The 16,326-nt window shown below is 54.3% G+C and overlaps 1 protein-coding gene across 13 annotated transcripts in view, besides 3 other annotated features; it reads right to left on the reverse strand.

Annotated features, from left to right (window-relative positions):
* Positions 1-16,326, reverse strand: part of CFAP46 (cilia and flagella associated protein 46) — a 134,179-nt gene that overhangs the window by 21,811 nt on the left and 96,042 nt on the right. For 7 of the 13 annotated variants that reach the window (XR_007061969.1, XR_007061970.1, XM_047425388.1 and 4 more), the window contains exons 44-50: positions 15,855-16,025; positions 6,615-6,712; positions 5,940-6,019; positions 5,102-5,232; positions 4,452-4,573; positions 3,839-3,921; positions 3,156-3,323 (exon numbers count right to left, since the gene is read on the reverse strand). Coding sequence is in view for 10 of the 13 variants with exons in the window: in XM_047425388.1 (XP_047281344.1) it covers positions 3,156-3,323; positions 3,839-3,921; positions 4,452-4,573; positions 5,102-5,232; positions 5,940-6,019; positions 6,615-6,712; positions 15,855-16,025 (853 nt within the window). In the remaining 3 variants the exon portion in view is untranslated. Of the gene's footprint in view, positions 1-2,413; positions 2,601-3,155; positions 3,324-3,838; positions 3,922-4,451; positions 4,574-5,101; positions 5,233-5,939; positions 6,020-6,614; positions 6,713-14,817; positions 15,412-15,854; positions 16,026-16,326 lie in introns of those variants that run through there. The other 6 variants (NM_001200049.3, XM_047425387.1, XM_047425392.1 and 3 more) reach the window with 5 other exon arrangements.
* Positions 6,098-6,628: an enhancer, noted in NCBI's record as "H3K27ac-H3K4me1 hESC enhancer chr10:134649804-134650334 (GRCh37/hg19 assembly coordinates)". NCBI's record gives its function as "activates a minimal SCP1, AML or CMV promoter by ChIP-STARR-seq in primed H9 embryonic stem cells {active_cell/tissue: H9 hESC(primed)}" and the evidence as "EXISTENCE:reporter gene assay evidence [ECO:0000049][PMID:30033119]".
* Positions 6,629-7,159: an enhancer, noted in NCBI's record as "H3K4me1 hESC enhancer chr10:134650335-134650865 (GRCh37/hg19 assembly coordinates)". NCBI's record gives its function as "activates a minimal SCP1, AML or CMV promoter by ChIP-STARR-seq in primed H9 embryonic stem cells {active_cell/tissue: H9 hESC(primed)}" and the evidence as "EXISTENCE:reporter gene assay evidence [ECO:0000049][PMID:30033119]".
* Positions 7,160-7,689: an enhancer, noted in NCBI's record as "H3K4me1 hESC enhancer chr10:134650866-134651395 (GRCh37/hg19 assembly coordinates)". NCBI's record gives its function as "activates a minimal SCP1, AML or CMV promoter by ChIP-STARR-seq in naive H9 embryonic stem cells {active_cell/tissue: H9 hESC(naive)}" and the evidence as "EXISTENCE:reporter gene assay evidence [ECO:0000049][PMID:30033119]".

Raw genomic sequence — 16,326 nt, forward strand, 5'->3', positions numbered from 1 at the left:
GCATGATCTCAGCTCACTGCAACCTCCACCTCCCGGGTTCAAGCAATTCTCCTGTCTTAGCCTCCTGAGTAGCTGGGATTACAGGCACATGCCACCACACCCAGCTAATTTTTGTGTTTTTAGTAGAGATGGGGTTTCACCATCTTGGCCAGGCTGGTCTTAAACTCCTGACCTCGTGATCTACCTGACTTGGCCTCCCAAAGCGCTGGGATTACAGGTGTGAGCCACCGCGCCCAGCCAAGGCTTTTTCTTTGTGGGAAGATTTTAAACTAAAGATTCTATTACTTTAATAGATACAGGCATATCCAGGTCATCCCTTTCTTCTTGAGCGAGTTTGGAAGTTTGGGTCTTTCGAGGAACTTGTCCATTTCATCTAAGTTGTTAAATTTATTGGTGCAGCATTATTCATTATTTACTTTTTATCCTCTCTTGACTCTGTAGTGATGCTGCCTCTATCATTTTTGATATTGATAATTTTGTGTCTCTCTTTTTTCCTGATCAGCCTGACCTGACTAGAGGTGTATTAATTTTATTGATTTTTCTCAAAGCACTTGCTTCTGGTTTGTGTTTCTGTTTCCTGTGTCATAGATTTCTGTTCTTATTTTCATCATCCTTGATGATGCTTGTGTTGAATTTGCTCTTTTTCTAATTTCTGAAGATAGAAATAGCAGCCATTGCTTTGCAGCCTTTTCTTCTTTCCTAACATACATGCTTAGTTCCATAAAGTCCTTCTTGCGCTTCAGCAGCATCCACACATAATGATAAATTGTGCTTTTGTCTTCATTCACATCACAATATTTTCTAAATTTCCCTCCTTTTAATTTCTTCTTTTATCCGTGGGTATTTAAGAAGCATATTTAGTTTCCAAGTGTCTGGGTTTTTCCAGGCATGGTTTCTGTTATTAAGTTCTTATTTAACTCCACTGTGGTCAGAGAACCTACTGTGGGTAATTTGGACCCTTTCATATTTTTGAGGCTTGTTTTATGGCTCAACTTAGGGTATATCTTGTCAAATGTTCTGTGTGTGTGTGTGTGTGTGTGTGTGTAAAGTGTACATTCTTCTGCCGTGGGGGGAATGTTACATCAATGTCCGTTACTGATTTGATGCATATTTGTTCCATCACTGTTGAGAAAGGGATGTTGACCTCCCCAGCCATCCTCGGGTACGTCTTGATTGTTCTGTGGCTCCATGGGTTTTGTCTCGTGTGTTTTACGGGGATGTTAATCGATGTACAGACACTGAGGTTTCACATCCTCTTCATGAATTAGCCTCCTCCTCTTTACGGAATGGCCCACTGTAGCCCTGGTCACATTCCCAGGATGAACTCCACCTTTTTCTAATTTAATCTCACCATGCCAACCTTCTTTGGATACTAAGAGATAAGGTTTTTCCATCCTTTCTTTTTAACTTACCATTTTCTTTGTATTTAAAGTGGGTTTCTTGGAGGAAGCATATTTTGAACGCTGAATTTTCATTTAATCAGATGATATTTTTCTTTTAGTTGGGGGTGTTTAGACACTTAATGTGATGATAGATATGGTTGGGTTGAAATATACTATCTTGCTATTTGTTTTTCTTATTTTTCCTATCTGTTCTCTGTTCCCTTTTTTTCTGTGTTTTTTTGGATTAAGGGTATGTTTATGATTCCATTTCATCTTCTTCGTTATGTATTTGCTATAAACTCTGTGGGGTTTTTTGTTTGTTTTTCTTGTTTTGTTTTTATTGATTACTTGAGGATGTATAGTTTATAACTTTATCACAGTCTATCTCCAAGTAATATTATACCACTTTCTCCAGAGGATGGAGACTTTAAATACTTTGCTTCCATTCCCTCCCTCTCATCTTTTGTGCTGTCGTCATTCATTTCACATTTATGTTATAAAACCCCATACCATTATTATTGTCTTTTGCTCTAAGCTTTTTGCTCAAAAATATTTTAAAGAGATTTTGAAAATAAAGGCGTTTTAAGTATTTATCCGTGTTTTCACTATTTTCAGAGCTGTCTGTTTCCCTGGACTCGCACACAGGTGGTGGCTGTCTTCCTGCTGAGGGCTCTGCAGATCTCGGAGTGGCCGTTCCTTGCAGCTCTCTCCTTCCAGGTGTCCCGCCCTGCACGTTGTAGTTGTCAGTTTCCCAGACTCCAAACTGTCTGTCCTCAACTTGCGGAGACCCCTGGGCTCTTCCTGCCCCCCCCCCCCAATGCTGTGGCCTGGAAATTCCCCAGAGAGTAAGACCTGGGTGGGCCATGGCGCTCGCCAGCCAAACCCCCTTCGAGGCCCCCCGTCCTGCGCGGACTGCTCGTCAATGTTTGAAAACCCTCATTTCATGTGCTTTTCTCTGGTTTTTATTTGTCTCAGCTGGAAGAACGAATCTGGTCCCTGTTACTTCATCTGAGATGGAAGCAAAAGTCCAATCGATTTATTTTTAATTTTATTTGATACCGAAGTGCAGAAAACTGCACGTACCGCAAGGGTAGCGCTCGGGGAAGCTTCACAACCGGGGCACGTCTGCACAGCCAGCACTCAGTCACAGAATGTCATCACCCCCGAATCCCAGCCGAGGTCAGGGCCTTCCGCGCGCTCCCTCGTGCTTTTCACTGTCTGAGTGATTAACGGAGAGGCTGGCTGTTTACTACACATCTGGTCCCCTCCTTTGAAACAGGTATTTGTGGGGGCAAGAACAGCGTTAAGTTTGTCTTCCCTGTGTGTTTAGCACCAGGATACTGGCACATAGCAGGTATTTTATAAATAGTTTTGAGTGTTTATATATATACATATATATTTTATTTTTGACAGGGTCTCACTCTGTTGCCCAGGCTGGAGTGCAGTGGCGCCATCTCAGCTCCCCAAAGCCTCAGTCTCCCAGGCTCAAACCATCCTCCCACCTCCCAGCCTCCTGAGTAGCCAGGACCACAGGTGCACACCACCATGCCCAGCTAATTTTAAACTTTCTTGTAGAGATGCACTCTCACCATGTTGCCCAGGCTGGTGAGTATTTATATCCTACAAATATCTTTGAATGAATAAATGCCTAGAAAAATGTTGCAACATTTGATGATTATTTCTTGATAGGAGCTAACATTGTTTCATCTGAAAAATAATTTAAATATTTCCATTTTAAAATTACACATTAAGGTGGCTGAGGGCAGTTCCTACCTGTCTCTTCTTTATGGAGGCGATTCCACAGCATTTGAAGAGAAAATTCTCGTGACACAGAGGAAATTGTCCCTTCATCGAACACAGAGAGACCTTCCAGTGGCAGCTCCAGGAGATGTCTGTCTGCGACCAGGACTATCTTATCGGCAACCTCAGGCTGGACTGTGCCTGGGAAACAGCAGTGCAGGGAGATCAGCTCCTGAAGACGGGACCCCTCCCACGGGGTCGCAGGGCTCCGTCTTCTGACTTGGCTGCTGGGCGCTGGGAAAGGCTGGCAGCCCGCCTTGACTCCATGCCACCTCCTCCTCCAGATGCCCCAGAACGGGGCGAGGAACAGCCTCCCATCACGCCTGTCCCTCCACACGATTCTTTTTGTTAGCAAGCACGTGTGGTGTGGCGGGGCTGACAATCCACCCACGCGAAGGTGGCTGTGCTGGGTTCCGTGGTGCTCTCAGGAGGCTTGGCACAGAGCCTCCTACCCAGAGGGCTGGTCCAGGGCTGTGCAGAGAACCTTCCGGGGACCTCAGGCGCAGGGAGGCCTCAGGGGAAGGAGCAGCAGGGCTTGTGGGACTCCTGGGTTCCTGACCCCCCCTGGCGTTCCCGGATGGGTGGGTGGATCCCAACCCCACCTCTTCTGGCGGGATGAGCTCCCCAGGCTGAGTGGCCACGCCCGCCCCACTCACTGTGTTGTCCTGTGGACGTTTTCCTCTCCTTGTCTTTGCCCTTCGACTTCCCTGAATCGGCAACAACCGCAGGTGTCTGCACTCTGAAAGTCAGGTTATATATTCGGGTTTAAGAAACAGAGATAACAAACGCTTGGAATATAGGCGACACCTGCTCAGCCTGTTTCACTCTAAGGCAGCAGCACCACGAATCCCCACGCTCACTTCTGGGGATGGTCCCACTGAGGTGGGGCCGGGATGAGCCACAGGATTTTGGGATCATCTCTGATCCACCAGCCAAGCTAAACGGTGCCAGGTGTCCGTCCCCTCTGCCTTCCTTCCCACCCCAAATCAAAGCAGCCCGGGCGGTCCCTTGGAGGTGCTTGCCCTCCCACCCCACACTTGGGCCAGGGGCTGGAGGGACCGTGGGCAGTGGGCAGTGGGCAGTACTCCTCCAGGCAGGAATGGAGGCAGAACCAGAAGAATTGCTTCCTGGGAGCAGGCAGGCGGCGCCGAGTCCTGAACAAAGGCGGCCGAGAAGGCACAGCAAGCACACGTGGTTGGCCACAGCACTGGACACACGTGTCCATGCGTGAGCGTGGTGGGGTGCCAGCCTCAACGTCATCCCCAGTACCTGGCCTTGGAGAGGCTGAGCAGGGGGAATAGCGGCTGCAGAAGCTCCTCCAGGGGCCCCAGGACGCTACTGAGCCTCTGCACAGGGCGCTCCTTCTCTTCCACCTGCAGGCCTTCTGGTTCCTACCGCAATCCAAAAAAGAGGCCCCCGTAGCAAACAGGGCGCATGGCCCAGACCCCGCGAGGGCCAGGCCCCTGCAGAAAGGCCGAGCTCCTGCCCCTTCTGCAAACAGCATGGTGGACAAGGGCACCTGGCTCGGCAACGAGGGCCCCATAGCACCTGGCCCATCCTCTGGAGGGTCACCCTGAGACCCCAGCCCCCACCCATCTCCTCTGCCCGCACCACGGAGGGTCCTGCCTGTGGGGACAGCCGGGCCCAGGTGACCCTGAGCTCTGCGGAGCAGAGTGGACCAGGCCCCTCCTGTTTGTGCTTCAGGGATCAGACATGGCCAAGGAGCCCAAGGAGCAAGTTCTCCCCCCACATGGAGCTTGGCCTGGGAGTTGGGCAGTGCCCGGGTGTTGGGATGGCCCAAGCCCTTCAGCAGCCTGGCCTAGCGCCCCGCCCCTCCCCCCACCTCGCCAGGGTCCTGGCTCCCAGGGGTGGGGAGCAGAGGGTCCCGGCTGGGTGGCTTGGAGCCTGGAGGGCCTCACCGAGCCTATGTTCAGGGCCATGTCCTCACTGTACACCTGGGCCTGGGTCTGCTTCCGGAACTGCTGGGCACAGGCCAGCAGGTGGGAGAAGGCAGTGGGACTTATGGCCAGACGCATCACCTTGCAGGAGCCTGTGGGGACATGGACACACCCTCTGTCGCTGCCCAGGGCTGAGGATGGCAGCTGGACCGTGCATGGTGAGCACTGGGAAAAGGGCTGCTGTCCCACAGGAAAGGCTGCATGGATGGAAGTCCCTTCCTTCATGTGGGGTCCCCCTGGTCCCATGCTGTGGAGACGCTGCCACATCATTGCGCAGGCAGCGGATGGGCCTCCTGGGCCCCAGGGAAGCACACGCCCCGTCTACACCTGTTTCCAGAATGTCACAGGCTCTACAGACCCCTCCATCCCTGTGGGTGGAGGGCTGGGAGAGGCCACACCCCTGGGACCCCAGCGGCTCCCTGGTGGGCCTTCAGCTTCTGGAAGGAAAGGGCCCGTGTGCAGGGAACCTGAGGCACAGTGGGTATCAGCTCTGCTCCCGCCCCCGCTCCCCTCCCGAAACCACTCCCCTCCCGCCCCTGCTCCCCCTTCCCCATGCTCCCGTCCCCTCCGCTCCCCTCCCCCTGCTCCTGCCCCTGCTCCCCCCTCCCCCCACTCCCCTCCCCACTTCCCGTCCCCGCTCCCCTCCCCTTCTCGCCCTGCTCCCCTCCCCCTCTCGCCCCGCTCCCCCTCCCCTCCACCTCTCACCTCCCCCTCCCGACACAGCCCTGCTCACCTCCCCACTCTCGCCCATGCTCCGCCTGCCCTGCTCCCCCTCCCCCTCCCCTGCAGCCCTGCTCACCTCCCACCGCCTGCACCTTTCCTTTGGCTGCAGTAATGAACTTGGGTTTCTCGTAGGCAGCGCCGTACAGACGGGACCTGCTGGCAGGACGTGGGCCAGGGTCGCAGGCAAGCCATGAAGGAAACACACCTCACAGCCCAGCTCCAGCGACCTCAGAGGAGCCCAGTGAGGCCAACTCTGCAGACCATGGACGCCCAGCAGGGCCCTCCCCGTGTGCGCCTCCAGGGGCACCGCTGGGTGTGCATGGCCGGTCAGGACGTGGATTGAGAACACGCTGGGTCATGCACCGGGCACTTGGCCACGGCCAGTGAGTTCTGTGGTCACTGCCAGAGGCACCGCCGGCTGGCTCCAGGCCAGTGGGAGCTGGAGAGGACAGCTGTCCTGCTCTCGGCTCCACCATAACAGTGACCTTCGGGTCCGGACGCCCAGACCAGACACAAAGACCCTGTACTGGAGACAGGTCACAGGAAGGGGTGTGTGGCGTCTCTGGACGGCCCCCCCCCCTTGGGGTACCCGGTGTCTGTCCGGCACCTTCTTGGGACTGTCCGGGCGTTTCCCGAGTCCCAGGCCTCCCTGGGGTGGGGCTGAGGTGTGGGCAGCCCACGGCTGGGTCTCTGCCTCCCTGAGGCCTCTCAGCGGGCTGGGGGCGGCCTCAACAAGAAGGAGCGGCTTTACCTGTCCCCTGAGAGGTGCAGAAAGAGGATCCAAAAGGTCGGAGGCATCTCATTCAAGAGGTTAAAATGCTGCTCAGTGACGCAGAGATTTTGCCAAGCCTGTGTGGCGAAAAACGGCCATCAGGGGATGCATTTAGGACGCAAGGACGTCGCTGTGCTGTTCCCCTCATTTCCAGGAGACCTCGTGGCAGAGCCACGGCGGGGGCTTTGTACCCTTCCTGCCCGAGGCTGGGCCCTTGGGGTGGGGGGCCCTGCTGGAAGTGACTCGGGGCTGCCACCAGGGGGCAGCAGAGGCACGCAAGAGTCACCGGCGGCCCCAAAATGTCATTTCTCTCCGGTTGTTAATGTTTAGAAACCTGATTTGCATGACGCAAAGTGCATGTTCACCAAACCCAAAATAACAAATGGAAAATTCTCCAGCGCCGCCTCTGTGAGTGGTGCCTTTCCCTCCATCCTTCTGTGTCCTCCACACCACACATGGAGACATACATGTACAGACACATGGATGCATGCAGACACACACGCGTGCACAGACACGCACTCACGCAGACAGGCACGGACACACACAGATGCACGTGTACATGGACCCAGACACAGACATGCACGGACACAGACACCCACCCGTGCATAGACGTGCTCACGCGGACATGCACAGACACACACATGCACACGTACACAGATGCACACAGACGCACACAGACATGCACAGACACACGCACACGTACACAGATGCGCACACACAGACATGCACGGACACACACATGCACACGTACACAGATGCGCACGGACACACGCACACGTACACAGACATGCACGGACACACACGCACACGTACACAGATGCACACAGACATGCACGGACACACATGCACACGTACACAGATGCACACACACAGACATGCACGGACACACACATGCACACGTACACAGATGCGCACGGACACACACGCACACGTACACAGATGCACACAGACATGCATGGACACACATGCACACGTACACAGATGCACACACACAGACATGCACGGACACACACGCACATGTACACAGATGCACACACACAGACATGCACGGACACACACAGATGAACACATACACGGACCCAGACACGCAGACATGCACGGACACAGACACGCACGTGTACACAGACGCACACACTCACGCAGACATGCACGGACACACGTGTACACAGTGCAGACTCAGAGCCGTGCCCCCATGCTCCCCTGGGGAAGGCCCTCTCTTCCTGGCCTTAGGCCCCTGGGATGCCAGTCGGCTGTGGTCAGGTGGTGCAGGCAGCAGCTCCGGCCCGTCCGCTCCCGTGGACTATGAGTCTGTCTAATACCAGACCCGGCACGCAGTTCAGGCTCCTCACCACCAGCGGCAGGCGGCCACCACAGCCCCTGAGGGCCAGCCAGAGGGCTCCTGGAGGCTTGGGCCTCTCCGCATGGGCAGCCCTCCATCGAGCTGTGAGGCTTCTGGTTCTGAGTCATAGCTTCAAGTTTGCACAAACAAAGCAGTTTTTATAAAACTTACTATCAAAGTAGAATATACAGAAAGTGGCGTAAAAGCCCATGCGTGAAAAGCTCGATGGATTTTTGCAGTGGGCACACCTGTGTGGCCAGGCAAAGAGATGGGACATTGCCGGCCACTGGCCCTCGTCCCCACAAGGGGACCACAACAGATTCTAGCAGCTCAGGTGGGCTTTTCTGCCGGGCCTCTGGCTTGCGCCGTGGGCTTCACCCAGGTGGAGCGTGGGGCTGGCCTTCCTCCCTGCAGATGCCACAGCTGGTAATGCCACAGCTGGGAATGCCACAGCGTCTTCATCCGTTCTGTGGCCAAGGGCATCTGGGTGGCTTCCCGTCAATGGGGGTCATGAGCGATGCTGCTCTCTGGGGACCCCAGCGAAGGATTTCTACCGGGCGCAGAGTCAGGTGCAGACTTGCTGTGTCAGCTACAGCGATTCTGCCAGAACCCTGCCCAGGGGCTGCTGCACCCACGGGCTACTGTGCCAAGGGGCAGGCATGAGGCCCAGGGAGCCTCAGCTGCCCCCATCCCCGTCTCATCCCCACTGGCCGTGTCCTCCTTTTCCATGGGAGCCATTCTGGTTGGTGTCTGGTTATCTGCGTCAGGCTTCAATTTTGCATTTCCCTGACTAATGAACTTGAGCACCATTAAAATTATTGGCCACACGAATCTCTGCTTTTGTGAGATTCCAACCTCGTGCCATCTTCAATCAGTGTCTCCTTTTCTTACTGAAAAGGGACCTACACCCTTCATCCATGTGGGACACACATGTGTCGGCAACCTAGTGTCAATATCTTCTCATTCTCTGTGGCTGCCCCTTGACTCTCGGCAGGGCGTTTTTGGTGAACAGAACTTCTGAATTTCAGCGCAGTCTGATTTGTCGTTTTTCCCTTGTACGGCTCCTACCCTGTGTCTCCCGTGGCCACAGGGGGGTGGCGCAGCCCCAGGTCCCCACAAGGGACACAGCCCTGGGCCACCTGCCAGGCCATCTCTGTGGAAAACAACATTGCTAATAGCTCAGGGGAACCAGGCTAAGACCTCACCGGAAGGAGGAAGAGCCTTCGTGAACCCTCGGCCACAGAGAGAACTGGTGGCTTCATGGCACGGAGCCTCTCGGCCCACACACACGGAACAGCACCCGAGTTCTTCAGTCTCTTGGTTCTGTATTTTCTTTTCAGTCTTTCTACATGTTATTTCTTTTTCTAGTCATATTGTTCTGTATTCAATACAAGTGCTGATAGGGTGTGCATTTCCGCTCTTGGGGAAAACTTTTCAATACTGTACCATTAAATATGATGCATGCTAGGGCTGTATAGATATTCTTTATTGGATTAAGGACATTTGCTTCTATCTTAATTTTAAAAATCATGAGTTGATGTTGGATTTTGAAAGACACCTTTTTTGCACCTGTCAAGGTGATTTTGCGATTTGTCTCCTTTTCCTTCTGTTAACATGGTCAATGATATCGAATGATTTTTGAATATTGAACCACATGGAACACAACTACTTCACCCTGACGTGGCGCCCCTTATAACTGCTGGACTTTATTTGCAGTATTTTGTTAGGATTTTTGTGTATTAGTGATGAGAGAGCCTTTCCTTTCTTGTAATGTCCCTGCTAAGTTTCTAGTGTCAACGTTCATCTGGCCTCTTAGTAAAAGAGGAAGTTGTTTGCTTTATTTCTACTTTCTATGAGTTTTCAGAGGTTATTTATTCTTCCAGTTTTTGGAAGAATTTACTGGTGAAGCCAGTGGGGTCTGGGTTTTCTTTGTAGCAACATTTTAAATAAGAGATTCAATTTCTTTAACAGACACCGAATCATTTGGATTTTCTACGCTTCTGTTGGCTTTGGTGAGCTGTGTTATGTTGAGGAGTTGGTCCATTTGAGTCCGGTGTTGCCTGTATTGGAGTAAGGCTGTCAAGAACATTCTGTGTGAACTTTCAATGCCTGCATCATCTCAGGGATGGGTCTTTTTCTTACTGATACTGGAAACTTGCCTTTTCCCTTTCTTTCTTGAGCAGGTGTTTCTCCATTTCATTGTCTTCTCTTTGGAACCAACTTGTGCCTTGGATTTCCTCTGCTGGTTTTGGCTTCGCTGTTTCTGATGTTGTATTGATTTGTCCTCTTTCATTTTTCTTAGCTGTAATTTATTGTTGTTGTCCAGCTTCTTGAAATCAAAGCTTAAATCAAGGTGTTTTCTGGCTTTCTTCTTGTATGCAAGGCTGTTATTTTTCCTGTAACCCGTTTGAGCTAAGTCACGTAAGTTTTTATTTGTAGTATTTTCATTCTCTAAGTCAGTTTAAGTCTAAGTCAGTTTAAAGTGTTTTCTGAATTCTGCTGTGACTTCTTCTTTGACTAATTTGATCATCGTAAGTAACTGTTTAATTTCAAGGTGCCCGTGTTTCTCACAGGTCCATTTTTGTTACTGATTTCCTGCTTTATGTCACCGTGGTTGGAAAACACGCTCTGAGTGACCTTGGTACTGGGGATCTCTGCTGTGGCTGTGTGTGGCCCAGCGCTGTTCGGTTTTAGCCATGTCTGGTGAGGGCCTTCTCGCAGGTGGGGACACCATAGAGTCCGGGGTGGCACAGGGCATTCCGTGGCGAGGGGGCTGAGTGTGCCAGCTCAAGTCTCTCCTCCTCTTCCTATAAAGCCACAGTCCCGCTCCCAGGATAACCCCTGAATCTAAAACCATTAATTAGATCAATCCATTCATGAGTTTTGGAGGGAACATTCAAACCATAGCATTCTGCCCCCAAAACTCATGTCCTTCTCATATACAAATAGATTCCTACAAACCCCGTAGCCCCAAAGTCTTAACTTGTTCCAGCAGCAACTCAAAAGTCCGAAGTTCAGTCTTATCTATGAGCCTGTGAAATCAAAACAAGTTCTCTACTTCCGACATACAGCGGTGGGACCGGCTGAGACATTCCCACTTGAAAACGGGAATAGGCAAAATGAGGAGTGGAGGCTCGAAGCAAGCCCCAACCCCACAGGGCTGATGTGATCCTGAATTCAGGGAATGGTCTCTTCCGACAGCACCTGCTGCCTCTGGACGCAGGGGCTGGGGGTTGGGCCTCCCCGATGGCTTTGCTGGGTGCAGCCCACATGGCTGCTCTTATGGGTGGGAGTCCAGTGCCTGAAGCTTCCCGAGCTGCCAGTGACTCCACAGCTCTGGGGTCCTGGTGGGGGTCCTGTTCCCGTGGCTTTGCTCTGCTGGGGCTGTCTGTGGTGGCTCCATCCCTGGGACGAGTCTCTGCCCAGGCCTCCAGGCTTTCAATGGCATCCTTTGAAATCTGGATGGAGGCTGCCAAGCCTCCATCTTGCTCTCTGCAAGCCTGCAGAATCAGTGCCACGTGGCCGTGGCCAATGCTGTGGCCACACCTTCTTGAGCTGTGGGTCTATCTGCACCAGAGCTGCCTGAGCCACCCCTGGGGCCGCCATGGAGAGCTGCACTGGAATTTAGGGAGCATGGTCCCCAGCAGGCCCTGGGCAGAGAGCCTGTGGAGGGCACCTCTGGCACATCCACCAGTGCAATTCTGCCCTCCATGGCCTCCAGGCTTGCAATGGGAGGGCAGCCTTGAGGATCTCTGAAATGACTTCTGGGTCTTTCTTCCACTGCCTTGAAGAACAGCACCCGGCCCTTCCTCTCTGTGCTGACTTTTGGTGAACGGTCTAGAGCCTTGGCTCCTCTCCTGGGCACACCTTTCACTCTTTACGTGGCCAGGCTAAGAGCTTCCAGATCCTTCCGCTCACTTTTCTTTTGATGATAATTCCATCTCCGAGTTATTTTTTCCCTTTTGCAGCTCCGTGTAGTGGTTAGAAGTAGCCACGCAGCAGCCTAATTCTTTGCTGCTTGGATATTTATTCTACCAGATACCCTTGTTCACCACTCTGAAGTTCAGCCTTTGACAAAGCTGTTCCACGTGGACAGTTCAGCCAAAGTCTTTGCTAATTTATGACGAGGCTGGCCTTTATTCTAGGTTTTAATACCTTGCTCCACAGTTCCATCTGAAATCTCATCAGAATGGCCTTTCCTGTCCAAATCAGCATTCTGGTCACGACCACTTAACGGATCTCTAAAGAGTTCCAAACTTTCCCTTGTCATCTTGTCTTCCAGGCAGGCCCTCACCAGAATCACCCTCAATGATCCATTTACAGACATACTGGGTTTTTAAAAGCCTTCTCCTCTAAATGCTTTCAGCCTCTGCTCATTACTCAGTTCCATAGCTGCTTCCATATTTTCAAGTATTCATTATTGTTAACCACCCCACTCCTGGTACCAATTTTCTTAGTCCATTTCCAGTTGTTTATAGCAGAATATCTGAAACTGAGTAATTTACAAAGAAAAGGAAATTATTTCTTACAGTTCTGGAGGCTGAGAAGTCCAAGGTCAAAGGGCCGCATCTGATGAGGGCCTTCTTGCAGGTGGGGCCTCTGCAGAGTCCTGAGGTGGCCCAGAATGACACACGGTGAGGGGGCTGTGTTAGCCCAGGTCTTTTCCTCTTCTCATACAGCCATCAGCCCCACTCCCATGATAACCATAATCCATTAACTTATTAGTCAACAAATGGGCTGATCCATTCATGAGCCCTCATGACCCAGTTACCTCTTAAAGGCCCCACCTCTCAATACTGCCACATTGGGCATTGTTTCAACATGAGTTTCAAGGGAGACAAACGTTCAAATCATAGCACCCTTGCTCTGTCTTTTCCAATGTCCCCCTCAGACAGGGTCTTTTCTTCAGTCTGTTTCTCAGTCACAGATTCAACCTTGGGCTGCATTCACTTTTCCCAGAAACCCCCACATTGAGCCCTTCATTTAGGAGAGCACATATGGGATGCTGCAGAGGACACTATGTCCTGGAGGCTGCGTCCTCTCCAGGCACCACAAGACCACAGCAGATTTCACTGCCTTCCAGAAGCTTCCAGGGGAATGTCCCTAAGGCCCAGGACCTGGTGGGTGTTCCCAGGGTGCTGTGGGGCTGCTCCTGGTGGGCATTCCCAGGGTGCTGTGGGACTCTGCTCTCAGTGGGCGTTCCCAAGGTGCTGTAAGGCTCTGGTCTCGGTGGGTGTTCCCAGGGTGCTGTAAGGCTCTGGTCACAGTGGGCGTTCCCAGGGTGCTGTAGGGCTGCTGCTGGTGGGCGTTCCCAGGGTGCTGTAGGGCTGCTGCTGGTGGGCGTTCCCAGGGTGCTGTAAGGCTCTGGTCTCGGTGGGTGTTCCCAGGGTGCCATGGGGCTCTGGTCTCGGTGGGTGTTCCCAGGGTGCCATGGGGCTCTGGTCTCGGTGAGTGTTCCCAGGGTGCTGTGGGGCTCTGGTCTCGGTGGGCGTTCCCAGGGTGCTGTGGGGCTGCTGCTGGTGGGTGTTCCCAGGGTGCTGTGGAGCTGCTCCTGGTGGGTGTTCCCAGGGTGCTGTGGGGCTCTGGTCTCAGTGGGTGTTCCCAGGGTGCTGTGGGGCTCTGGTCTCGGTGGGTGTTCCCAGGGTGCTGTGGGGCTGTGGTCTCGGTGGGTGTTCCCAGGGTGCTGTGGGGCTCTGGTCTCGGTGGGTGTTCTCAGGGTGCTGTGGGGCTGCTCCTGGTGGGTGTTCCCAGGATGCTGTAAGGCTCTGGTCTCAGTGGGTGTTCCCAGGGTGCTGTGGGGCTCTGGTCTCAGTGGGTGTTCCCAGGGTGCTGTGGGGCTCTGGTCTCGGTGGGTGTTCCCAGGGTGCTGTGGGGCTGTGGTCTCGGTGGGTGTTCCCAGGGTGCTGTGGGGCTCTGGTCTCGGTGGGTGTTCCCAGGGTGCTGTGGAGCTGCTCCTGGTGGGTGTTCCCAGGGTGCTGTGGGGCTCTGCTCTCAATGGGCGTTCCCAGGGTGCTGCGGGGCTGCTCCTGGTGGGTGTTCCCAGGGTGCTGTGGGGCTCTCCTAGCTGCAGCGCAGTGACCTCTCCTGTCCTGGCTGCAGGCTCGCTCCTCCTCCTCGCAGAGCTTCTGTTGACACCAGTCCCAGCTGATTTCCGAATTGCCCAGTGGCCCCAGGATGGACGGTGAGGGTTGACTCAATGCTCTCAGTGCAAACATTTTAGCTTAGCTAGTTCTCATTGCTTCCACGGCTGATAACTTCAAAAATATGAGGCTCTGCCATTCGCCAGCCTTTCCCGAGGCTGCTGCGGTGGGCCTGCTGTGGTCTACGACATCCCCCAGCCCGACTGCACTGAGTCTGTGCCTGGCTGAGATTCGGTGCAGCTTTTCCATGAGAATTCCTGAAACAGGAGGGCCTGAGGAGTGGTGGCCCCCATCGTGGTGACTGATGGCTCCCACATGTCAAGCCCCAGGCCGCCTCCTGGCCCTGCACTCAGTCCTGCACACACACTGGTGTCCTTGGTCCCCAAAGCTCCTATGGGGTGAGCTCTGCCTGGTCTGCAGCCGTGCGGGAGGGAGAGCCATGACTCCCGTGCCCAGCTCACCCACAGCAGGTGCTCTGGTACCAGCCTGGCTGCTTGCTCCTCACCTGTCCAGTAAGTGCTGCCCGGGGCAGCCCAATTTTTTTGAGATGGGGTCTCACTATGTTGGTCAGGCTGGGCGTCAGTGGCTATTCACAGGCACTATCATGGCTCACTGCAGCCTCGAACTCCTGGGCTCAAGTGATCCTCCTGCCTCAGGCTCCTGAGTAACTAGGACTACAGGTGTGTGCCCCCATGTCCAGCTTAGGCCACAGGCACCCCCCTGCATGCCCAGCTTAGACCACAGGCGCCCCCAACGCCCAGCTTAGCCCATTTTAATTCCCGCTTGCCATGCACACCCTCCTGGACCCAGCTCCGGCAGGGCCATGTGCATCAGCATCTTCCTCCAGGCGCAGGGCCAGGCTGTGCCACCTTCTCCTGTCCTCGGGCCTGGGCTGGGCCTGCAGGCCCCTTGCCTCCACCCTCTGTCCTCTCAGCTTCAGAAGGACGGCAGCTTTCCAGGTTTCCACCTCTGGGTTGAGTCACCAGTTCTCAGCCGGGGCCATGTTGCGCCCACTGGCCATGTCTGCAGACATCTCTGGATGTCACAATGGCAGGGGTGCTCCTGTCAGCCAGTGGCGGATGCTGCCCCCGCCCCACCCTCACCAGCAAAGCATTGTCCACCAAACAGCCCTGGACGAGGGGATATTTGGTCAGGTCCACCCCAACGAGAGGACCAGGGAGGCAGCCACGCAGCCGAAGGAGGGAGGGGCCCCATTAGGCCATGCTTGTCTGTTTCCCACAATTCAAGAAATGTCGTCGTCTTTTTTCTTTAAATACTGCCATTCGCATCTGCTAATCTGAACAAAAAGCGCCGTTAGCTGTCCTGCTCCACAGACATGTTTCTCAAGGTTGAACCCTTAGACCTGACCAAGGTGTAAAATATTTCCTTAAACGGAGGCAGGGAACATGCAGCTCCGATCCACATGAGGCCCTCAGGGCACTGCTGGCCCATCTGCTGGTCAGCTCTTGGCTGCAGGCCTGGCTGTGCGTTTGTAGTTGTGACCTCGCCAACCTCACCGCACCCACCACGTGGGCCGTTACTACCCCCACAAGGACCAGGGGACACTGAGGCTTGGAGAGGCGACCCAGGTGCACATGGCTGGGGGCACGGGGAGGGATGGCTCATGAGCTGGGGGGTGAGCAAGGCTGCCTCGCTCAGGCGTGGGACTGTGCGGCTGCAGTGTCTGTCCACAGAGCTCCAGAGCTGGGGGCAGGTTCAGCGGCATCCGTGCCCGCTTACCTTGGACACGGCGGCCAGCCTCTGCTCCACACGGGCGCCCAGGCTGGTGGTGGTCCTGTCTTGGCACCGGAGCTGGTGCTGTAGCTGCAGCAGGGCCGCCAGCTGTGAGCTGCTGGTGTTGGCTGTGGCTGCAAGCAGGACATCCCTCATCGTCTCTGAGGCCGAGCAGCTCTGAAAGGGAGCAGGGGAGGTGTACCAGGGGCCCGAGGCCTGGGCGGGGAGGCCTTGCACCCTGCGGAGGGTGCGCAGCAGCTGCAGCCTGGGAGCAGGAGTGGGCTGGCTCTCCTGGCAAGGCTCCCCTGGGATGCTGGCTCCTCCTGGCACCTGCAGAGTCGCGTGGGGCCACGCTTGTTCCCTCTGTGGGACCTCTGTGAGGTCTGCACGGACAGGGCACTGCTGGCCTGTGACTGCCGGGTCTCTGTGTCTGCCCAATCCTCTGTGGGACCTCTGTGAGGTCCACACGGACAGGGAC

This window comes from Homo sapiens, chromosome 10, assembly GCF_000001405.40.
Source record: "Homo sapiens chromosome 10, GRCh38.p14 Primary Assembly".
In the NCBI taxonomy this organism is placed as follows: Eukaryota; Metazoa; Chordata; class Mammalia; order Primates; family Hominidae; genus Homo; species Homo sapiens.